General features: G+C 52.4%; 2 protein-coding genes across 5 annotated transcripts in view, besides 2 other annotated features; both read left to right on the plus strand.

Annotated features, from left to right (window-relative positions):
* Positions 1–23,601, plus strand: part of RANBP2 (RAN binding protein 2) — a 1,122,820-nt gene that overhangs the window by 655,908 nt on the left and 443,311 nt on the right. The gene's annotated exons all lie outside the window — the stretch shown is intronic.
* The window catches only part of SH3RF3 (SH3 domain containing ring finger 3), a 375,430-nt gene that overhangs the window by 246,185 nt on the left and 105,644 nt on the right, over positions 1–23,601 (plus strand). For 3 of the 4 annotated variants that reach the window (NM_001099289.3, XM_011511109.3, XM_047444144.1), the window contains exon 4: positions 23,201–23,554. In NM_001099289.3, the coding sequence (NP_001092759.1) occupies positions 23,201–23,554 (354 nt within the window). Of the gene's footprint in view, positions 1–17,390; positions 18,137–23,200; positions 23,555–23,601 lie in introns of those variants that run through there. The other variant, XM_011511110.3, reaches the window with a different exon arrangement.
* Positions 20,850–21,351: an enhancer, noted in NCBI's record as "H3K4me1 hESC enhancer chr2:110012695-110013196 (GRCh37/hg19 assembly coordinates)". NCBI's record gives its function as "activates a minimal SCP1, AML or CMV promoter by ChIP-STARR-seq in primed H9 embryonic stem cells {active_cell/tissue: H9 hESC(primed)}" and the evidence as "EXISTENCE:reporter gene assay evidence [ECO:0000049][PMID:30033119]".
* Positions 21,352–21,851: an enhancer, noted in NCBI's record as "H3K4me1 hESC enhancer chr2:110013197-110013696 (GRCh37/hg19 assembly coordinates)". NCBI's record gives its function as "activates a minimal SCP1, AML or CMV promoter by ChIP-STARR-seq in primed H9 embryonic stem cells {active_cell/tissue: H9 hESC(primed)}" and the evidence as "EXISTENCE:reporter gene assay evidence [ECO:0000049][PMID:30033119]".

Raw genomic sequence — 23,601 nt, forward strand, 5'->3', positions numbered from 1 at the left:
AGCGCCCCTTGCCAGGAGCCTAGGCTGACCCTGCCCCAGTGTCCACTCGGGCACAGAGAGGAGTGGGCCTGGCCTCTCACCCTCTGGAACTCTAGTCTAGCGGATGGGACAAGAACTAAATCCAAACACTCCACCGGGCCTTCCTTCTGGGTCTTTAGCCCTTGAGGTTTTTCAGAATTTCAGAAGGCGCTTGTTCTAAGGGGAGTGAGGATGAGCCAGTCTGAGGAATTCCTCCTCCCCAGTGGGCCAGGGCAGAGTGAACTCACAGGAGGATGGCAGGCGAGGGACTCCGTCATCCAGAGTTCTGCCCTCTCTGTGGCATGAGTGCCGGGGCTGAGCACCCCTGCAGCCCCCCTCTCTTTCTGCACAGGGTCCAAGTTGACCTGCTTGGGGTCAGGCCTCGGCCCAGCCCTCAGCTGTTGAGAACAGGGCCCATTCCTCATAGGCCCTGATGGCAGGACCATGAGCAGCCCATGGGCAGTTCAGGGCGATGCGGGCTTCAGAGCAGACCTGGCTGGGCCCAGCTTGTCCTACATCACCTGCACATTGGGGGCATGGCCTGTGGTCACCCCCTTTACCTTCCTGAGCCTCAGTTTCCCCCTTCAAACAAGGGCAGTGGCAGACGTCATGGGCTAGCCATGGGGCATAGAGAAGATAAGAACACACAGGCTGGGCTGGCTGGGGTAGGCAGAGAGCACTGTCCTGTGCTGGTGGTGGTGGTGTAAATGTTTGTGGAGTGAAAGCTGCTCCTCGGTCCATTGCTGTGTTGATTGAAGATCACTGTGTCATTCCTGAGCACTGAACACATTTGGCCTGGTTAGCTGAATGGGTTTGAAGGCAGGGCAGTTTCCTGCCTGGGTGAGGTTTGCAGTTGGATGATGTCAACAATACCAGGACACAGGTCCAGGGTGTGGACGCTTAGGAGAGGCAGCCCTCTTGGAAGCTGTCTTTAAGGAGCATTGTCAGGAAAGGAATCAGCTCGGGTTGGAGAGACTTGGGGGCGGGACACAGGCTGCCTCTGGCTGCTCACACAGAGCCTGGGTGGGTGGCTTGCATGGAGACTTAGAAGGCATGTTAGCAAATACGCCAGTGATTCTCGTCTGCGAGGAAAACCTCTCCATGGGGCCAGGATCGTGATCCAAAAATAGTTCAAAAAAATGATGAAAGACAGTAGACACAAGTGTCAAGCTCTGCCTCCACATTGACAACATCGGTTGTCCAGGTAGAGTAATGGGGAGACCCAGATCTCAAGGAACCAACTGAAAAAGACCCCCCAGAGATAGTGCTTTACTTATCCTCAATAGGATATTCAGAAATTGGCTGCTCCCTGTGTTGCTGGTGTGTGCGTGAGTGGTCACCTAGGTAGACCCTCATGCCCTCACCCCACACGTGCATGTGGTGGCATCCCAAGGATCCTTAGAGACAGCCAGCATCTCAGCATCTCTGACAGTAAAGGGCGGGGAGGAAGAACCCCTTCCTTTGTTCCCCTAAGTTTCCATGGTGAACAGTGACCATCCTGTGCCTAGATAGACCCTAGTCTGCAATGTGAGGACAGACAGAGATGGGGTGCGGAGCACCTGTCCCGGCAGCCAGCACATACCCCAGACAGGTCTGCTTAGGAAGGAACAGAGAGCCGCTCAGAGTCCGGGCTATTTTGCTGCCTTTGGATTTGGCTTGGGCTGAAAAAATAGGTGCCTTTCCCTGGGGGGAGGTCTAGAATTCAATCAGAGCTGTAACTGTTTATTCTTGGCGTTTCCCATTGATTGTCTGTTTCTAATTGAGCAGCTTTTCAGGGGCATGTGATGGGTGCACACTCCTCTCCACTTGGCTAATAAGAAGTGTGAAGCCTGAGGGTGCTGGACCTCCGTGGGCCAGCGGGGCGTTGGTCTGTGTGGGGAGATGCTGGAGCACGTGGTGAGCAATGGGTCACAGATGAGAGGTGGAGGTGGGGCCCAGCTGCTGATGATGAGCCTCCTAGTCATCCCAGTGTCTGCTAACCCAGAAAAAGGCCATAGCGTCAGTGGCTGTGGTAGGATAACCCTAGGATCCGGGGAAGAAGCAGAGCTGGAGGGGGCAGAAGATTCAGACTCTGTGACGCCAGACCCAAGCCTCTGTCTGCTGTCAGGATGCTTGTGCCTTAGTTGGTTGTTGAATTAATATGGTGTGGTGTTTGGGAAAATTGTGGATGGAATGCTGTTTATAGATCCTGGAAAAAATAATGGCAGCCAACATGAAAATCTTTATTTAGTGAAATAATATAATACCCAGAAAAATAGCAGGAGTTCCTGCTGATGGCCATTTCCCGTTTGAGAGTGCTTATCTTCAGCACAATGATGATAGCGTGCCTCATCAGACCACTGGGTTCTAAGCCTTGGTTGATGCAGCAACATCAAGCTCAGTTCCTCCTGCTCCTGTAGCACCGGTGCCTCCTTGTCACTTTATCTTTTACAAAGAGAGGCTATTATTTTGAACCTCTGCCTCTTAAGTATGCTCTTGAGACGTTTGGTGGTGACTTAAAGGCACAACGACAGCTCTCATTGGGAGCGGATAGCTCGGGCATTGTTGTTAATTGTGCACACTCCGCGTTCTGCACTACCTCAAAGTAGTGAGCAGCTCCGCCGTGTTGGATTTGCCATTTTACCTTGGTCTTGTGGGTTTTCGGCCCTTGCCTGGGCCAGGCGGGATGTGTTCAGGGAGGAAGAGGGGAAGGGTGTGACTTCCCATGAGAGCCACAAGGGAAGTATCCCAGGTGCTGAACTGAGGCTCCTCTCTCCTCCGCAGCACCTCCAGACCTGTCTGATCCTGTGGTCCGGGTGGGTTCACCCACCGGCTTGCACTCTGGGTCAGGGAGCTGGCTCATATTCACAGTCCTGGTCTCTGCCTTCCCTCCTCCTTCCAAAGACCCCCTCAGCTTCTCTAAGAGAAACCCAGCATGCCAAGAACCACATAGGCAGTGGGAGAGGGATGGAAGGATGGGGGCTCTAGTTCTCAACTCCCAGTTGACTTTATGCACCCCCACCTGAGACGGGGTTGGAACACCTCCGACTCTTAATCTTGCCTATGAACTAGAGGCTGCATGGGCTTATGGAGCTGTGTGATGCTTCTGAGGCACCCTCCTTTTTCTTTGCATGCCTGGTAATTTTCAGCTGGTTACTGACTTTGTGAATTTTACTGTTTGAGGTATTGGACATCTTGGCATTCCTGCAGATGTTCTTGAGCTTTGATTTTTGTTAAATTGCTTAGACTCAGTTTGGTGTTTTTGAGGCTCGCTTTGAGGCTTTGTTAGGCAGGGCCAGGGAAGCCTTTCATGTGGGGCTAATTTCTCTACTGCTGAGGCTATAACCTTCTCTACTCCATGCCCCATGACTTATGAGGCTTCCACTCTGGAAGTTGGAAATGAAAACTATTCCTGGCTTTATGTGACCTCAGAGATTGCTCTGCCTTCTCCTTGTGGGCAGTTCTTTCCCCAGTGCTGGATAGTTCCCTCATATGAATGCCCTGATCAGCTCTCAGCTGAAGACTCCAGGGGACTTTCTGCAGATCTCCAGGACTGTCTCTCTCTACAGCTCCCTCCTCTCCAGAACTCTGGCCTGCATCCTGTAGCCACTGTGGCTCCCCAGATCCAGAACTCTGTCTTCTCAATGCAGGGAGAGGCTAGAGAACCCAGAGACAGTAACAGAGCCCATGTTATGGGCTCCGCCGCTCTTGGTGATTGCTGTCCTGTGCGTTCTGCTGTCCCATATCTGCAAATCTTGTTTCACAGATTTGTTTTCAGTGTCTGGAGCAGGAGGGTAAAAATGTTACCCATCATTTCACCTTGGCTAAGCAGATGTTAGCCAGTGATGCTTTAGGAATTTTGAAATAAGGGTCAGAGGTTCCCCAGGGCTCAATCTCTCCAGCTTCAGTGCCAAAGTAATAATCCAGGACTTTTCCTTAGATGAGGAACTGGAAAACGCCTTTAAAGTCATGGTTTACCATGGAGATGGGTTACAACCAAACGCCAAAGCCCGTCCCGTGGTCCCACTCTCCAGGCGAGCCCCTCGCATGTTTGTTTCACTGCTGGTGTTCCCTACACTTCTGCTGACAGATGTGGCCGCTGCTTCTAAGAGTCAGGACACCCTGATGATGCCACATCAGAAGGGATGTGAAAGTATGAAGGAAAAATACTCAGGGATGTCTGCCAGGGAACGCTGGGGAAGATGCAGTTTTGTTTGAAGTTTCATTTTATTTTTCTTGCTTTTCGTCATCCTCTGTTTTTACAAGCTCCTGCCGCAGCGACAGCCTGTGGAAGGGATCCCCCAGCCTTAGTGTGGATGCCAATCCTGCTTGCATTTCTGTGTCAGTGTGGACTGTGCCTCCAGGAACACTTTGTAAAGCCCTCCTGCAGGTGAAGCCCGGTCATTGCCAAGAACACTGGGCAGGAAAGCCAGAAGCGAGGACCAGAAGGCAGGGACCAGGAAGCACCCAATGGCGTGTCTCCTGGAGTGTGATGTTGTGTCTATGTCTGAACAGAGTGGTCCAGGAGGCAAATTCTTAGACCTATCAGGGAGAATAAGCAGTGGTCTTGCCTTCACCAGTAACCCACTGTTTCCCTTACCTTTCAATTGGATTAACGACATAAAGAAATAAATGAGTGTAAAGAAATGAGACAAGACTACATAAGAGGGAGACTCCAGTCGCATTCATGGTTGGGGTCTGTACATTTTCTTGCCGGGATCTGACTGCCAAGGCGTGATCCACACATACATGGGTGTTCATTGTAGTTTGGGTTTGTTTGTCTCCAGCAAAAATAGGTAGGTGCCTAGGTACCGGCTCGCCCTGATTTCTCTCTTCTTAAGTCTTTTTGAGGTCTTCGTGAAATTAACATCTTATAATAGAATATCTTACATTCCATTGCTGCTGGGAGTCTTGTTGCTGTGATTGTTTTGTCTCCCTAAGCCCCTTTGAGGCCAGACCTGTAACTCACAGTTGCTTCCCTTCTGGGTCCTGGCACAGGGTGGGGCCCAGGTGCTAGCTACCCTGTGCACCTGTGCAATGTTATTGGGTTGTGGTTCAGTGTTTTACAGAGCTCATCAAGCATGGGGAATGCCCCACTGACCATCTCTAAATGGGTCTAAGCTGGGAAGCTTGCAGCAGTTCTTGTATATCTGTGGCAAGACAGCTTAGTAAGTTTTTGTGAAGCCCCTTGTCCTCGCTGCCAGCCTCCCTGGGAGCTTCTGTGGGGACAGTGAGTAGCCCTGACCGCAGCCTGAGTGGCTCAGTCATCACTGGGGCCACAGCCCACCTTAAATGTTGTCAGGGCCTGGCGAAGGGGCACATGGAGCCTTGTGCCATAGTTCCTGAGGTTTGATCTCACCCTGCCCACCTTAGCCAGGCAATCCCTGCCCACCAGGTGCCCCCCACCACCTGCATAGGCAGACATCAAACTTTTTAGATTCCTCCCAAGACCTCGATGCTGGAGAGCCAGACACTAATTCAGGGCCTTTGGAGGCCCCAGCAGGGCACGCACTGGTCCTCAGCACCAGTGCACTCAGCCTTGCCAGAAAGAAGCTGCATGCATGTAGACCAGCAGGAGTCGTTGCTGATTGCCGACTGTTTTGGTAACTAAAATGGACTACCTGTGTTGGCTTTAAGCAGTAGTTGTGAAATTGTGTGTCAGGAAGAGGGCTTCCTCCACGGGTCTACCAAGTGGTCTACCACTTGCTGAGTGCAGAGCCTTGTCCTGGTCTGGATGCGACGATGGAAGGCTTAAGTGAGTCATCTCCTGAAGAGACTACTCAGGACTGGAAGTGTGTCAGCCTAGGGGCAGCTGAACACCCAGGTGGCCCTGGAGCAGGCTGCTGGAGCGTCTGGCCTGCAGCCGGTGGAAGTAACTGAGCTCCAATCTTGTGTCCAGACTGCTTCTCCCCTAGGCTCCAGCTGTTTTTCTGCTTCTCCTGTCACTCATATGGACAGTGCACTTTCCACTGAGCAGGTCAATGGCGGGGTTACTTTTACACCTAACTTTAGCTCCTCTCTGGGCCCTGCTGGTCTCAGCACGCACACCCACCCAATCCTACGGAGACAGAGTTCTCACACCTACCCTCCGCAGGGCATCTTGGGCCATCCACGTCCACCTGCCCTCCCTTCAGCGTGGCCATCACGGTGCCCTGACTCAGCTTCCAGTCCCCCGGGCTTCCATGTTCTTGTCTTCCCTTTCACTTCTACCTTTCCTGCTTGAGTAAGTTAGGCTGTGGCTCGCAAACTTCAGTGAGCATTTGAGTGTTGTCAGAAGGCCCCCAGGATGGCTAAATAGTAGAAAGGACAGCTTTACTGGTGACATCAGTTTGCAAGCCAGGAATAGATAGTCTCTGACATGGAACGAAGGTGCTCTCGCTTCGCAGAAGGGGAAGGGCAGTTGGATTTTATGGCTCGCAGGGTCTGTGTTACATAGTAGAATCAGACATGTTTAGCAGGTTTGGGGGAAAGCTGTGCATGTTTATAAGGGGAGCTGAGTGCATGTGCAATGGGCAAACATGTACGTAACACACATCTCATGTCACTTTAGGGTGGGGTTTCAGCATTAAAATGAGGTGGAATTTGGCTCTTTCCATCAACAGGTGAACTATAGGACACAAAGACAGCCTGTGCACAGCCTCCATAAGTTGCTGAAACTGGCTTGAGGTCTGCAGTTGCTTATGAGAAAGGGGTGTTTGTAAGGGCTGTCCTCTGTCCCATCAGAGTTGCAGTGGTCTGGGTTATAAATCAGAGGGGTCTGATAGCACCTATTGTTAGGGAGTTTAGCAAGAGTGTGGCTTTCTTTGTAGCCCAGGAATTTAGGAAGTTACCATGCCAGCACATAGGTAACTTTGTTTCCTTAACCATAGGGTCTGTCTTAGTTGCTGAAGGGACATCTGTTTTGGTCTCAGATAACACAAGTCATTGGGAAAGCTGCAGGCCCAGCCCAGGGGAGAGTCTGCTGCAGTGGGGCTGACTCAGCCTGGGGCTGAGGCTGCCTGCACCAGGCCCACCTGCGCCCAGCCCACTGGCCACCCACCTCCCTCAGCAGCCCACCTCCTGACCCCCGACGTGGTTGGCCTTTCCTCAGTCCTCATCTGCATGAACTCTCCACACTTAGCACATGCCCTTCCGTCTTGCAGCTGTGTCCCCAGGCCTCAGCAATCTTAAAACAGCCCCTCTGTCACCCCACACAGAGCACCCCAGTCGTCTCCAGGACCTTCCTTTGGAACACCGAGCCCTGTCACATCTTCAAATCCTTCTGGTGCATTCTAACATCCGTCTGCCACTGAATCTTCAGAACAGCCTTAGGGGAAGAGGAAGGCTCCATTCTCCTGGCGAGAGATGCAGCCAAGCCCCATCCAGGGCCCGCAGCTGATGAGCAGTTCCATGCCAGAATTTGAAGTTAGCACCCCCAATGTTCTCTGCTTTCAGGATTCCTAGTGCAGAGACATTTGGCTGTTGGATTATGAACCCTGCCCCAATCTGACCTGCAGCTTCTCCTCCCACCATCTCATTCTATGGATTAATGTGTGGACCACGCTCTTCCAGGCCCATGCTCACTTCTTTCCTGAGTGTTCCAATCACAACACTCAGGACTTGAGAGTGTGTCTGAACCTGGAGATCGGCCTTAGGAAGTACCATCCACATTTAAAGAAGTTTGGAGGAAACCGGTGTCAGATTCCATGCAGCCCTGAGGGCGGGCCCTGGCTCCGAGGCACTTGTCCCCAGGCAGACCTTGTGAGTGCTTGCAGCTTTTCAGGCATGGAAGTGAAAGCATACTTAGCTGTGGAGAGATTTGGCACTGGGTGCCTGTAGGATGACAGCAGCACTTCTTGGCTGAGGTCCAGGGCTATGTTTGGTACAGAAGAAACCATGTCTGATTTTTCAGCTGGAACCAAGCACACCCATGTGGAGTCACTGGGGGGTCATGGGGGACCCCAAACATCTTTATTCCAGAGCAGCCCATCTTTGCAGGGAGATCTATCCTACAGGTCTCGGTTGCTGTTGCTGCCTCACCCTTAGTTCTAAGACTTGGCAATGGATTATGACCAAGGTTGACACTCTGGGCCAGTTGGAATCATTCTTCTCTTGTCTTCATGCTTCTCCTCCATGGTACCTTCTGTTAATACTTTCTGTTTCCAATGGATAGGGTGCAGGCTTCTGCGGGCTGAGGCACGTTTAAGATTCGGGTCCGGGAAATGCCCAAACCGTGTGTGTGCCCTGTGGGGTACTTTCTGTAACCACCTGAATTCCACCTGTGATGCAGAATGAGAAACAGCACTGATTCCAGCTTCATTTCGTTGCTGCTCAACCCCCGCAGAGGAGCTCAGAGCTACTCTCTGTTGCTTTTATAAACGCCTCCCAAATCCTTGAAAGTGAGAGCAATTAAGAGTCTTAGTTTGAAGCTCTTGGGACATCAGCCGCATTTTCCAGACGTCCTGTTTTCAGTGATCAGTCCGTCCTTATACCCTTTAAGTAATTTCTCATCCCTCAGCCCCTTCCACCCTACCACCCCGCTGAGTCTCCAGTGTCTGTTAGGTAGAAGGTTCTGATGACAGTCTAGAGGCTTCCTGGCTGCCACAAACAGTTCCTTCAGGGCTGGCCCCTCACAAATGAAGGCAGCCCATCCTTTCCATCTCTGCTTCCATCAGAGGACCACTTGCTCCTCCCACCCTTAGGTTTCTGTTGGTGGCTTAGCCTTTGGTGGAGAGAGCACATCCCACTGCTGGGCAGGGCAGTGCCCTCCCCACAGTTCCTTCCAGGCCGCCTGGGGTCCCACGTTCATCCAGTCCTTAAGCGCCGGCTGCGGGCCAGGCCCCGGGGATGCAGCCTGAATGAAGCAGAGGAGAACCCTGGAGACCACATCTGCCAGGGAGGACACAACAGCGAAGAAAAGCAAGTCTGGAGGGGATTCTACTCTCCGTGGAGAAAGTAACACCAGGAGAGGAGGAAGGACCTGGGAGGAGGGAACTGCAGTTTTCCTGTCAGCGCTCGGGACTTGGCAGGGAAAGCGGCCTTCGGGGAGGGGCAGGGAGGGAGCAGGTCCAGGGGTGGCCTGAGCTGGCCGAGGGACTCTAAGCCAGGGTGACCAAGCAGGCAGGTGGGAGGAGAGGGGTTGGGGTCAGAGGGGCAGTGGGAAAAGGGCTTCAGGGGTTCCCGCAGGTCACTCTGAGGACATTGGCATCTGCTCTGCATTTGGGTCTGGGGTCTCTCTTCCAGGCCCCTTCTCTGCCGAGTGCCCGCGACCTTGTGCCTGTGTCCATAGACTCCTCCTGACCACGTCCTTGTCATTCCTAAGCCCACCCCCGCTTTGCTGAGGTGAACTTTGATAGTGTAAAATGCATGTGGAGGGAGCCTTCTAGACTAAAAGTTTCGAGCTCTGGTCATAGGGAACCCACAGGGTCTTGGGCCCCTGGGGATGTGGGCAGAAGGCCTCAGGGTAACTCCAACCCGATGGTTCCCATGTGGCTTCTGAGGGTCCCACTTCCCCCACAGTTCATTCTCACACAGCCATGGAACCAGGAACCATTTACTTCACTATTGCTTAAAGCCACCAGTGGGGCCCATTGCTCTTAGAATAAATCTAGACTCCTCACTGCAGTCTACCCTGTGGGTCCACCCAGCCTCACACCCTCCCTGCATGCCTGGCCCTGATCGTTGTCCCGGCATGCTGGCCTTCCTCTGTCCCTTCATCTGTCCCTTCCTCTGTCCCTCTGACAGGCCAGACCCCTGCCCACGTTGGCATCAGACAGTCGAGCAGAAGCTCTGGCTCTCTCTGTCACTCCCTGTGCCTCAGTTTCCTCATCTGTGTAATGGGAGTAATAACCTTACCCACCTCCAAGGGTTCTTAGGAGGATTAAATTGGAGACATAGTGAAGTGCACAAAACAGCGCACAAAGGGAGAAGTATGTGTTAGAAATGATTGTTAACTTAATTGTAGTTTGGGGGCCCTGCACAACCCCAGTGTCCCCTGAGTCACCTCCCATGTCACTCTGCAGAGAGCAGGAAGAAGCCCCCATGTCCTGTTGCAAAAATGCATTTTAGTAGCAGCGTGTTGTTTTTGATGCTGCAATATGAATATCCAGTCCTCTTGAAAATACAATTTGGAATAGTCTTAGGTTTCATTCGATGTGAAGGAAACAATCACTTAGAGAATGAGTTTCCTTGAACTGTCCAGGGCAAAGGAGCCTGTTTGAAATAATCAGCGCTTTTGGGAAAGGGACAACCAGTGTATTGCAGGCAGAGCCTGAGGTCAGCTGCTTGAGCATCAGAGGCAGGGAGCACCCCACACAAGCTCTCAGACCTCAAGGGGTTGGCCAAGCCTAAGCCTTTGTGTCCCAGCCAGCCCTGCCAGGGTGGACTGTGTTATGGCTGCAGACTTATCCTGCAGCCACTGGACTGAGGTAGGACCTGGCACCAGAAACAAAAAAAATAAACCCAGGAGGTCAAATTTACACGTCCATAAAGCCTTTTGTATTTAAAAAGAGATGGACGTTTGGTTGAAACTCTGCTCTTCTTCATATTTCTTATTGGTAAATTTGCAACACAGTGCATCTGTTCACCTGTTTTTAAATATGTCCCTTTGGGTTAAGTTGGGGTTTTAGTTGTAGCAATTCTTCATACCCTGTTCTTGGATCCAGCTGAGGGATGAGCTGGAATGGAAGTGCTAGCTTTAGGATTGAAAAATCTCAAAAGAATGTAGATTGGATCTGGAAGCTAAGGAACGTGCATAGACCTTGAAAGAGAGGGTCAAGGCTGCAAAGCTGACCGCCTTGCCTGGAATTGCTCCTTTCAACAGAGCTGGGGAGGGAAGGAGGAAGTGACCCAGGCTTCCGGCCTTCTCCCCAGTCCCTGAGGATGGCCTAGCCCCTGTGGATCTCCCTATCCGTTAGAGACGCATATGGAGCATGTACAGGTGACATTGTGTGGCTTCTGCAATTTGCTGGAAGCAGCAGGGAAGGTCAGGCCGTACATGAAGCCAAAAGGACCAAACACCAGGGGGCCGCTATGACTGTTACAAGAAGTTTAAAAAAAAAAAAAAAAACACTGTGGCTGCTTGTGTGGCAAGTGCAGTTATAAACAATAGCTCAGCAGGCGGGCTGTCCCTCAAACAACTTTATTTACAAAAACCAGCGTTAGCTGGATCTTGGGCCTTGGTTTGCGGCCCTTGAGTGTGAGTCCTCTACCCACCTCTCTGTGTTTCTGCTTCCCTTCTGTTTGGGCCCGGCTAATCCCTACCACTTTCTGAGCTCTTAGAGCTTATCCTAGGGGCAGCCCCAGGATCCTGGCATCTCCCTCAGGTGTCAGTCCAGGTCTGTGTCCCCCTCAGCTGGTGGCTGTCACCTAGGGCTGGAAACAAAACTGCCCAAGGAAGAGGAAACCTTTGCTAGACCTTGCCTGAAACATCATGCTCTTAAAAAATGACTGCATTCTCACAAAACCAAAGACACCAAAGGCTCTTTAGGGCACCTCACGCTTTGTACAAAATCAAAAAAAATCTGTCACTGCCGCAGCTCAGGAGGTCTCCCCATAGGTCGATGGAGACTCCAGCCTAATCTGCTTTTTTGTTTCTAATGACTTTTTCTGATTATAAAAATAATACCTGGCTATTGCTCAAAATAAGAAAATTCAGAAAAGTGTAAAGAAGAAAATTAAAATCACCCATAATCCTACCAGTAAATATGAATATATGTGTAGAGAAAGAACGAGGTGAAACGTTGTTAGCATATTGTTCTGTTTCTTTTATTCTTTTCTATGTATAAATTTACATATATTTTGGACAAATTTGAGATTGCGCTGTATCAGTATTTCTGCCTGGCTTTTCTCATTAAATTGTGAGAATATTCTCATAACATGATTGCAGTAGCTTCCAAGTGCCTCACCTGTGCAACCTTTTCTCAGCGCCAGGGCCGGGGGATCCTGTTGTGTCCCTGTGCTGCTGTAGAGCCCTCCGGTTCCCCATCTCAGGGGAGATCCAGGACCTCCCAGGGGCCCAGAAGCTTCAGCACTAGTTGACCCCATCACCCCCACCTTATTTCTGCCCATGTGTCTGCTCCAGCCACTCTGGCCTTCTTGCTTTTCCTCAGACACTCCAGCCAGCTGCTGCCACAGGGCCTTTGCACATGCTGTTCCCACCTGCCCATCACCCTTCCCCAGATGTGATGGGGCCAGCTCCCTCCCACATCTCCTCAAGGTCTTGGCTCACAGGTCAGTTTCCCTGTGAAGCCCATCTGGGCCCCCTATTTAACCTGCAGCCCCTCAGCATATCCTCCTCTCATACTTTTTCCTCCATGTACTTCTCACCATTCAACGTCCTCTATGTAATGAAATATTCACTTATTCCTTGTCTGGGTATCTGGGAGAGCAGGGGTTTTGTCTGTATTTATTTCACAGTGCTAAGCAGAGCCCCTGGCCTGCAGTAGGTGCCCAATTCCACCTTCTTCTTCCAAAGCAACAGCCCCAGATGGTTGGGGGGGGGGTCTCCTCCCCCGGCCCATCCACCCGCACACGGCCCTTCCTGACTCGTTCCACTGCTCCCACACTGGCCCAGATTCCCAACCATGCTGAGGCTCCCCACACCAATTCCAGGGACTCCTCGGTCCCTGTTCAGGAGTCGACAGAAGCTTTGTGTCCATCCTGACTCCTGTTCAGCCCTCACAGCCTGAACTCCTTTAGACAACTCTTGACCCCTGTGCACACACATGCACACACATTCACCATCCTACGCCTGCCCACGCCTCTCCATGACCTTGAAATACTTAGGTCACTTATGTCCTTTTGGTTGAAATACTTTGTCACTTTCTATGGTTATGTCCTGTCTGTAACCATAGTAACTGAGTTGTCTTCCCCTCTCAGCCAAGCCTTTCTCTAGTAGCACTTTCATTCAATTTTTCACTGATGAGTTAGTTGCAGCATGCCTGTTCTTAAGCTCCTTTGTGAACATGGAACACATCCTAAAGAAAAGTTCTTGCTGTGAAAAAGCTCCACCTGCCACAGATTGCCTGGCAGAGCTCACAACCAGCAGCAGGTACTCAGTGAGTGCTGAGTGAGGCTTGGACTCATGCAAGATCCACCACCCTCCCCAGCCAGGCCCCCCAGGTACTCTCAGCTGCTGACCCTGTGTCTGAAGTGTGATGTGAGTTACAGCTCTGTAGAGGGGTGAGAAGTGCTGAGCAGTGTTTAGAATATACTCAACAAACAGCCACTGCTGCATGCACATGCAAATGCTAGCTGCATTCATTCAAACACCTATGCATGGAATAGGTGTTTATCGAGCATGTACTTTGCCCCCAGCACTAAACATTTGAAGCATCTGTGAAATGAGACCCCTGCAAGAGGATGAAGTAGGCTCTAATCCTCAGACCTCCAAGGATCAGCTGTGACATCTTGATCTGATCACTTTGGCTTTGTTCTCCTAGGGTTGCTCTGGGATGTCAGAGAGAGACTAGAGAGAAGGGGGTATAGAGACGGGAGGGAAGGAGGAAATGCTTGCCACCTGGAGGCTTTCTAGGTAATAGAGATTAGTGGTGAGGAGGTAGCAGGTGAGAACATGAGGGCTGCAGTGTGCAGCCACCACGATAGTCTGGCTGATGTCCTGTAAACCACAGCCCAATGCACCATCCCTCCAGCTACACCAGGAGCCCATCACATGCAGCATCATAGGCCCAAGGCCACACAAGCCAGGGTAAGTTCAGGTGCCACTCACCAACCTTGGGAGCTGGTTTTCTGTCCCAGAGAAGCTGCACATAGAACACAGGTGAGCGTACCTGCAGACACACAGACATCCAGTCCCAGCCCCAGGTGCCTGTGGGTTTTGAGTCAGCTGTGAGGGCCCCTCCTGGTCCTCAGCAAGAGGGGCAAGCGTGGGCCAGGCCCCGCTCCTTGTGCATCAGGTTCACACCCTGTGCAAACAGGAGGAAGAGGGCCTTTTATTTCTACTGGAGGCAATGTCTGTCATCTCCCCTGGGTGCCGACAGCTTTCTGTCTTTGTGGGTGTGACCCACAGTGACACTGCATTTGACATCTTGACCGAGGGCATACCGCATGAGTGTGTGAGCCTAGAGAAATGGTCTGTGAAGCTACTTCCATACCACATGGACGCATGCCAATATTTATTCTATTCCGTTTCTTAAAAAGGCCGGTCAGGACCCAATCAATGGATCGTTTGAAAACCACTGCTCTAAGCCAGAGATCTCCAAGGTAGGGTGCATGCCACTCTGTGCAAAGAAGACATGAGAAATTCTACTCAAACTTACTGAAATTTTAACTTGTTAGTTTTAATTTCTATTTTGTGTATGGCTATTTTATATATTTTTGGTAATCAAATATATTATTTGGTCCACTAGATAAATACACCAAAAGATACACATTACATATGTATAATGCGAGTGATCATTGGTACATCAGAATATAAATGCAGAAATGCTTCCCTGATGGGGGTGCACTGTCAGAGAACAGGTCAGAGCCCACCTGCCTGGGCTGTGGCTGGGCCGGCCCTGGGAGCTCTTTGGGTGGAGCGGCCATCTGCCTTCTCCTGAATCTGTGCCAGCCACTCCTCTTGCTCCCCTTGTTCCTCCTCACCCACCTAAGATCTGCGATTTCTAAGGCAGAAGCGCCCTGGGAAATTAATCACTTTGGTCCTCAGGTTAAAAATGGCCAGAAATCCACGTGCAGCACACACCCCACCGGAGGGACTCGCCCAGGATTTAAGTGTCTACCGGAGGCCATGCGGGTCCCCACCTGCTGCCAAGGGTCTGAGGTCTCTTCACTGTCCCAACAGAGAGACTTCCCTTGTGGCAGTTCTTGGAGAAAGTGGAGAATAAGTGATGCCCTTCACACACTTCTTTGCCCATAAACTACCAGTTTATCTCCTTTTAGGTTCATCTTCAGGTAAAATTATCACAGGGTCCTTATCCCAGTCTGAAAACTTCTAATCAGCGGTCCTTCTGCTCACAGGACACCCCTGCTGAGGGGCTAATCAGGCCGTTCTGCTGCTCCTGGTACTTTTATGGACTTGGACACATTCCTAGCAAATGAGTGAAATTTTCTGTTTTCTTATTTAGTCCTGGAATCTTCCTTCTGGCAGGTCTTAATACTGAAATGACAATGTAGATTGCCAGTCCAGGAGGGACACATCACCCAATATCAAGAGGTTAAACTCGAAGCAGGTGGAGCCTCATTTCCCCGTGAGGACTAGGGTGGGATCCAGGGAGGAAGAAGGGTGACATAACTATGACAAAGGTGCAAGTGGGGGTGCGGTCGGCATTTCTGGTTCTGCTGGCGAGACCCATGGACTCTGGGATGAGGAAGGAGGCATTGACAGCCGCAGGGCAGCTGGAGGTTCTTTGGCAGATCTTGGTTTTGAGGGCTGGCTTGTGGGGCCTCACAGGGGCGGTCGCTTCCCGGGCTACCCACTATGAGATGAGCCTGGCCCAGGGTGTGCAGATTCATGTGCCACATCATAGGGCACTGGCAGAGGGCGGCCCCTGAATTCTCTAGAGGGTCCCGGCATGAATGCTGCTGTGGGCTGTGTGACAGCTGGGGTAGGCGGGCAGGTTCCACAAACTGATCTGCAGCTTGGCCAACTGCCCCCAAGCAGCTAGCACCCAGAGGCGGACAAGGTGGACGGGTGCCACCTGCCTCTCATGGGACCAGCCTGCACCTGACAGGGACAGGGTTTTGTCCAGTCCATAAGAGGGGGCTGAAATGAAAACCATTCGCTCCGACTCCCTCCTCAGATTTTTAAATGTCAACTCTTCCAAAAGCCTTGCCTGTACTCAGGCTTTACGTGCAAAATTAGGCAGCCATTTGTGCAGTGCAGGTCTGCACCTGCGTTTTAAACTTCAGTTATCCGAATAGTCACCTCAGCTTGCCAGCCCATTGGGCAGCCCGACAGCAGCCTGACCTGTATGCTTCAGCCATTACAGGACGGGGACCAGGGCTAGAATGCAAACACCAAGAGGACAGGATGGGAAAGGCACATCTGCCATGTGCTGGAGGGATGCAGGTCACCCACAGGCTCGGGGAGGGGTGCGGGTCACCCATGGGCTCGGGCCTTCACTCTGGCAGGGCCGGCGGCCTCACACAGGTCTCCAGCACACTCCTGCAGTGCTCTAGTGTTGCTCAGCCTCTGTCAAACTAACTTCAAGGGGGGAATCTCCTCCAGGGTAGAAGCCTCTCCCATAGCAGGTGTGTGGCCACGGCTTGTGGCCGGGCAGGGAGCATCAGTCCAGAGTGCTGGCACCAGTGTTTTACAGATGCCTAGGGTTCGATGTCCCCAGGAAATAAGAGTTTGGCATTGTCCACAGGCCTCTGAGGCCACTACTTCTGTGAATAAAGGGAAGGGAACAGAACGGCCACCAACCCTTGGTAACTATAGCTGGCATCTGTCCCATATGAGAATTTGCCTGACCCACTTTTCATGTCATTTTCAACCTCCTAAAAATATGGTCTTCTTTTTTTTTTAATTAAGACAGGGTCTTACTCTGTCACCCAGGCTGAAGTGCAGTGGCGTGACCTCTCAGGCTCAAGCGATCCTCCCACCTCAGCCTCCTGAGTAGCCAGGACCACAGGTGCATGCCACCACGCCCAGCTAATTTTAATTTTTTACAGAGACTGGGTCTCACTATATTACCCAGGCTGATCTCGAACTCCTGGACTCAAGCAGTCAGCCTGCCTCGGCCTCCCAAAGTGTTGAGTTTACAAACATGAGCCACTGTGCCTAGCCCAAAAAGGCCTGATTTTTAAAGACCCACATTTGAATCTCTAAAATGTACCCAACCCATTCCAATAGTCAAGGGCATAGGTATACCTCAGTGAATATATTCTTTTTTTTACATCAAGATGTAGCAAGAGGGGAAGGGCCTCCTCGTACTCTGCAGTGACGAGGGGATGGCAGCAGATTCAATGAGACATCTCAGAAAAGGGGTGAGCAGTAGCAATGGTGCTGCTTGTTCACTGTGTAACTTGGAACAGGTCACTTAACCTCTCTGAGCCTCAGTTTCCTTATCTGTAAAATGGCCACATTGCTGTCACCTCGTGGTGGATATAAGGGTCTGATGGGCACATGTGGGGATGAAGGTAAAGTCGGCTTGGCCAGGGGTGGTCACCAGGCCCCTTGCTTCTTCTTTTTTTTTTTGGAGACGGAGTCTCGCACTGTTGCCCAGGCTGAGTGCAGTGGCGTGATCTTGGCTCACTGCAAGCTCAAGCTCCGCCTCGTGGGTTCACGCCAGCCGTTCTCCTGCCTCAGCCTCCGGAGTAGCTGGGACTACAGGCGCCTGCCACCACGCCCGGCTAATTTTTTTTTTCAGTAGAGATGGGGTTTCACCGTGTTAGCCAGGATGGTCTTGATCTCCTGACCTTGTGATCCGCCCACCTCAGCCTCCCAAAGTGCTGAGATTACAGGCGTCAGCCACCACGCACGGCCCCCTGGCTTCTTACTAGCTTAGTCACTGGCAAAGAGTCCCTGGCTTTGGAAGCCTTTCTCCTTAAAGGCTCTTGGAATGTTCCACACACAACTCTTCAGGATGAGGGGTGCCTATGAGGAGGGCGAAGGAACCAGTGTCAAAGGGAATCCTTCCCTCTCCACCGCCCCTGCTTAGTCTCCTGAAGAATGACGTGTTTTACAACTGGCAAGTGTTGATCGAAGTCCAGCCCAGCCCAGCCATCTTGCCTGCCCGTCTCAGTGAGGGGAAGCTCCTGAGATGTCTCCCAACAAAAGCTTCAGGCAGGCAAAGGCCATTCTTCATCTGCTCCTGAGTTTTTGAAGCTTTAAGGCCAGCAACCAGCCTTGGTGGCCTCTGCCGCACTCAGCCATGAGAGTGGGAGCTTCAGGGTAAGGCGAACGCCCCACAGGAGTCTCTGGAACATGTGAGTCTGGTCCATGGAGGGTTCTCAGGGAGGGTGCTGCCATTGGGAAGCCGAGCTTGCAAACAGTGTTCTAGAAGCTTGCTACAACAATGGCATCTGCAAAGAACAGCATCGTCGTCTCTTGGGAGCTGGCAGAAATGCAGAAACTTGGCAACAGCCCACACCTATTGAGCCGGAGTTGGCCTCTGTGAAGGATCCCCAGGTCGTTCAGTGCACACTGAAATAGAAACTCTTTCAGAGCAGGTCTTTGAGCAGAGCCCAGGACACAGTAGGTGCTCAGTCCGTTTTGTTTTCCGAATGGTGCATCCATGAAAAGAGTCATGTGTTGCCTTCTTGTTAAACTGTGAGCACTTGCCCTCCTGCTTGCACCCTTGGCTTCCTGGATTTCCACCAAGATGTGGGTTTCAGGACACATTCCCTCCCTTGTATCGCGCTCCCAAGCCCTGTCGCTCAGTGCTGAGGTTGCTCTTCCTCCACTCTGGGTCAGTGCAGGGGCCCAGGGGGACACAACTACTTTGCGCTGTTTTTCTTTTGAAGCTGGGCACCTCCCACACCACTGCTCTTCTTTTCATGTTACAGCTGCTGTCCTCCCTCATGACTGGCTTGCCAATCTTACTCCTTTTTTAAGAAAAAAAAAACAAAGTCTCCTCAGTCAGACCCAGGGATTTGGGGTGACTATACTCTGGCGCTGTCGTGGACCCAGCGCTGAAATTCCAGGGCTGGCCGCACCTCCCCACCGGAGTCAGGAGACCCATGGCTCCAGGAGCTGCGGGGAGAGAGTCTTCTCTATTCAACCCAGCCCCACCCTCGGACGCAGCCACAAGGCTAAAGAGCACTCTAAACCAAGAGTCCATTCTGTAGAACTGTTTAAAGGATGGATGGAAGAAACTCTTCAGTTTTTCTTACCTTTCTAGACAGTTCTGTGGTTGGAAAGTGGTTGTGGAAGAAAATCACATCTAACCTAAGAAAGCTGGGGAGACAAAGTGTTGGGAGGGGCTTTGCTGAGCCAGCAGGCAGCCACTCGAGGTCACAGAGACCATAGGGTGGTAAGCGGGGTCCCCTGTGGGATGGTGAGCCCTGGCCCAACCTTTACTGTCCCATGGACAAGACTGCACCATCCCCTTGAGCTAATCTCCCACCCCATCCGGTTTCATGTTCCCAAGAGCATCGGACTAGGGGGTGGCCCCTGCAGAGGGGCCCCAGAACAGGGGCAGGCTCTGGGAAGGGCACACACCTGCACAGGTACCAGGAGCAGTCCTCATGATGAATGGATAAAGTTACCGAGATGTTTAAAATATTGATGTTATCATTTTGTTTCCATTTTGTATGGAAGTTGAAAATGTGTTCTCTTTCCATTAAAAAACATGAAAAGTTTAGTTATTGGGTGCATTGGTTATGTGTGTGCACATCTATGTAGGAGGGGGACGTCCACCTGATAAACAAGGTGACGCCACATGCAGATAGAGCCACTGGAGTCCTTTCCTTTCCAGATGGCACCTTGGTGGGAAGGGCTGCACCCTCAGGCCGAATCCACACCACATGGGAGGGCAGAGCCACCTGGCTTCCCTGCAGCATGGAGGCCTGTGCGCGAGACGAGTCTGCACCAACTTGCAGAGTGAGGAGCTGGGAAAGTGTGGCTGCTCCTAATGGGTGCACGGGAGCCGCCGTCCCGCACAGGCACTGGCAGGCGAGGGCATCCTGTGACCGTGGGCCCACAAGGATGTGTGTGGCCGGTGAGGGTCCTTCTGATTGGGATGGCACCGGTGCCAAATTCAGGCCCAGCTTTATGACGTGACTAATTGGAGCTTGTTGTGAAGACAATGAAAACTTCCCCAGATGGAGAGTTTTGCCCCAGGATCAAGTCACAGATCTGTAGCAGTGCCTGGGACTCCGCAGGCAGGCCAGTGCGTGCGCTACTCGCATGCCTGTGTGAGTATGGCAAGCCTGGTCCCCAGTGGTGGGTGGAAAATGACTCCTCAGTCCCATGTGTGTAGAGATGCATCTGCCTGTTGAGGCCCTTCGGGTTAGTCCACTCTGGGCTTTCAGAACGAAGACTGACAGGGCAGGAGGAAAGGGGTCCATGGAGAAGCCCCTTGGCTCAGAAGCAGAGATGAGTCAACAGGATACAGCCTAACCCCTCCTCTTCCTGGGAGACCCCTCGGCAGCGGTTCGCCTGCCTGGCTGCTGCAGGGATGCTGGGGATGCTGAAGCTTTGGATGAGGCATTGAGGACTTTCTTCTTTGAGGCAGGAGCTCTTACTTCTCCTGCCGTCTGTTGAAGCTGCCTATCTTGGTGGAAGCTTTTTGCCTTCACTTTCAGCACCGGCCTTCGGCTGGGGTTGCTAAGGCATGAGGGATGCATGCTGTCTCCCCACCCTCACTCTCTGTCTCCGCCGTGAAGGCACAGTGCAGTCACTTGTGAGCAGCCTCTCGGGGACACGTGCTGGTGGCCGCCCAGTGCTCAGTGACCTGTGGCACTGCTGAGGGGCCAGGCACTGTGCTTCTGGCTGCTGTGTCTCCTGATGAGAATAGGGAGCCTGGAAATCCATGCTGACATTCAGATCAGGGCCCCATCTCTTCTGGACTTGCATACAACAACCTGTTGGTGCCTGGATTTCCTGATTTTGAAAACAGTTTTCAGTACCAACTCAAAAGGGTCACAGGAGGACTAAGTGAAACACTCCAGGCCTGTTCCTTTGGGGAGAAGGGAATCATTTGAGCCCAGCCTCAGCATTATTGCTGCCATGATTGCTGTGTAATGATGTCCCAAGTGCAGGCGCGTGGCAGGTGTGTTTAGAACGTGCTCCGATGCCAGTGAGTGAGACGAATGGAGGACTGCGCTCACTGTGCCCTGCTGCTGTGTCTTCCTCTATACCCTGTCAAGTGGGCAGAGAACACTGGGGTCCAGAAAGCTGGCTCCCAGGTATTTGGAGAGCCCCACGGAGGGCTGTGGGAGGGAACAGGCACTGGTTTGTTCTCTGAGTAGCACTTAGGAGGAAGCAAATGAATACAGCCATAAAATAGAGCAAAACAGCTGAGCCTGGTTGGAGGAAACATTTCAAAGGAAATAACCCTAGATTTAGATCACACATGTTGGAGCCCGGAGTGAGGTTTTTCATAACCTCCCTCTGAAAGGCAGATATTCGTAGTGGAAATGCTGACAGCCATGTGCCTGGGCCGGGTCTGAAGGCAGCTGGAACCTGCAGCCACCCTGCTCCTGTGATCTGCTCGGCCTGCACGGAGCAGCCCTGTGATGGGGCCACCCTTTATCATGCCACTTAAACTCAGCAGGGCTTCTGGGTTTTTTGTTTTTGTTTTTTTAACTCATCAAGGTGCTACCAGCTGCAAATGCTAGTTCTGAATCTGGGTGAGACCTGGTGTTTCCCTTCACTGATTGACAGCATTGAGGGGAATCTCCTAGACCAGGCTGACGTCAGACTTGACTCCTGGTAGGTGTGGGGGACAGGCCCCTCCTGGCACCTGCGGGCCTCACATGCAAGGGCTTAGCCTATATCCTTAGCCTATGCCAAGCTTACACCCATGGCTGGCCACAGAGCGGGCGTGACTCTGCCCCAGGTAGCCTGCACTTCCATAGCGGCTCACATGGTCCTTCACTTGCCTGCTGTGGTTCCCACCTTCGTGGATCTCACTGACTCACTGCCTCTCTCCTCTTCCTTTCTGAATCCTGTACGTCCTTCCTGACCACTGCTGAGTCCCGTTTTTCCCATGAAGGCTTCAGAATGCCCCCCGGTGGCCTACCTGCAGTTTTCGGAAAGCCCTTTGGCCACTGGCCTAGGTGCCTCTGTGGTGCCCTACAGCACAGAGCCCAGTTGTGCTGCTGCAGAGACCCTGTAGGCCCCAAACCCAAAACAGTACCCTGGCAGACAGAATGTGCCAGGCCTGCACACAACCACTCCACCCTGCTCAGTTTCCGCTTGGTGAGGAGAAAACTCAGAGACAGCTCCCGCTTCCTCCTGCCCTGAGCTCTGTGCTCCTCCAGGGAGATCTGCCCAGAGGGCAGCTGGCATTTACTCAGTTTTTTTCTGCTACTTCTGGAAAGGTGAGGGAGAAAGAGTGGAAACTCACAGGCATTTACCCAGCCTGATGGCATTTGCCTAACCCAGCTTGTAGCAATCATCCCATGATGATTCTAGTATCATAGTTTCTTCCCAGCCACCTCTGTGTACACAATAAAGAGTTCCCTCTGCTTTATTCTTTCAAATCACTGTGAGCTCCCCATATAGGTGTGCACTTAGGCTGAGCCAAGTACAGCCTAAGAAGGAAGGGGCTCCATTGGGCACCCAAGTGGGAAACTTCCTCCAGGTATAGGATCAGGGGACACTGTCACTCACAGATGGTGAACTGACCTAACTGAGGCCCTGAGGACCAGCCCAGGGAGCCTTTTCTCACAGCTGGTACCTCCCCAGGCTGTGTAATTCACGGACCTTCCCCCAGTGGGTGTGCCTGGGCTGCCCCTCCCAGCCCCTCCAGGTGATGCCGCAGCCCTGAGAGGAAGGATGTGGCTTAGCCGGCCAGGAGGGTTTATTCCCCGGTTGCTCATGGACTTGAACCTTCATGCCACCTTTCCTGATAACCACCACCCAGGATCAGACTTTCGTCAAACTCTTCACTGCGCACAACGCCTGCTATCTTGTAGAACAATGGGAGATGTGGGAAGGAGTCGTGTCCTGAGACCTCGCCAAATCACTCAAGATGACAGATTATTGACACCTCCTGGGGTATGCTCAGGCCAGCTTCTGGGGCTTGACAGCCTGAGTGGAGGCGGTTACTGAAAAGAGCTTCTGTGGTTTATGCTGACCAGAGCAGACTCCCCTGCCACAGCCGGTCACCAGCCATTAGAAAGTGCATTCCAGTCACATGCTTTGAAATCTCCTCCGGGGACCTGCAGTGCTCAGGGCAGGCTGGGAACCTGCTGTCATGGAGCATGCAGGGCCAGCCCACGTCTTCTGATATGGGGCTTCCTTCCCATCTTGTCCCTAGTCCCTCACTGTCTGCAAGGCGGCACCGTGCATCCCAGAAATGGCCAGCAGTTGAAAAGATTGGGGCGACAAGGTAGTGGCCCTTGGAAAACTCTTCTTTCTCTATGAGTCCCCTCTCTCCATCATGGCTCCTGGGGTTTTTGAGCTGCTCCAAAAACCTTTTCAATAAAACCTATGCCACCCCACCAGCCTCTTCTGTGTTTTCCCTGCAGTCTGACGGATTTGAATGCATTGCCAGTTTGTGAATGGAAATGTGGCCTGGAGAGTGCAGAGGGCTGGTGTGGCATGTGACCATGATTTAATGCAGCCTCCCCTCTCCCCTTTCTCACTCAGCTCAATGACTCCGCCAAGCAGCTCATTGAGATGGACAAGCCATGCCCAGCCGCTGCATCCAGCTGCAATGCCTCCCTGCCCTCTGACTCCGGCGCTGTGGCCAGCGTGGCCCCAAGTCCCACTTTAAGCAGCTCAGGGGCGGTCAGTGCCTTTCAGCGGCGTGTGGATGGCAAGAAGAACACCAAGAAACGCCACTCCTTCACCGCGCTCAGTGTGACGCACAGATCCTCCCAGGCTGCCAGCCACAGGCATTCCATGGAAATTAGTGCTCCAGTGTTGATCAGCTCCAGCGATCCCCGAGCCGCGGCCAGGATTGGAGACCTTGCTCATCTGTCGTGCGCTGCTCCCACCCAGGTAACATCCCGCGGGCCAGGGCAGGCATCCCTGGGTTCTCTGGGGTT

This window comes from Homo sapiens, chromosome 2, assembly GCF_000001405.40.
Source record: "Homo sapiens chromosome 2, GRCh38.p14 Primary Assembly".
Classification (NCBI taxonomy): Eukaryota; Metazoa; Chordata; class Mammalia; order Primates; family Hominidae; genus Homo; species Homo sapiens.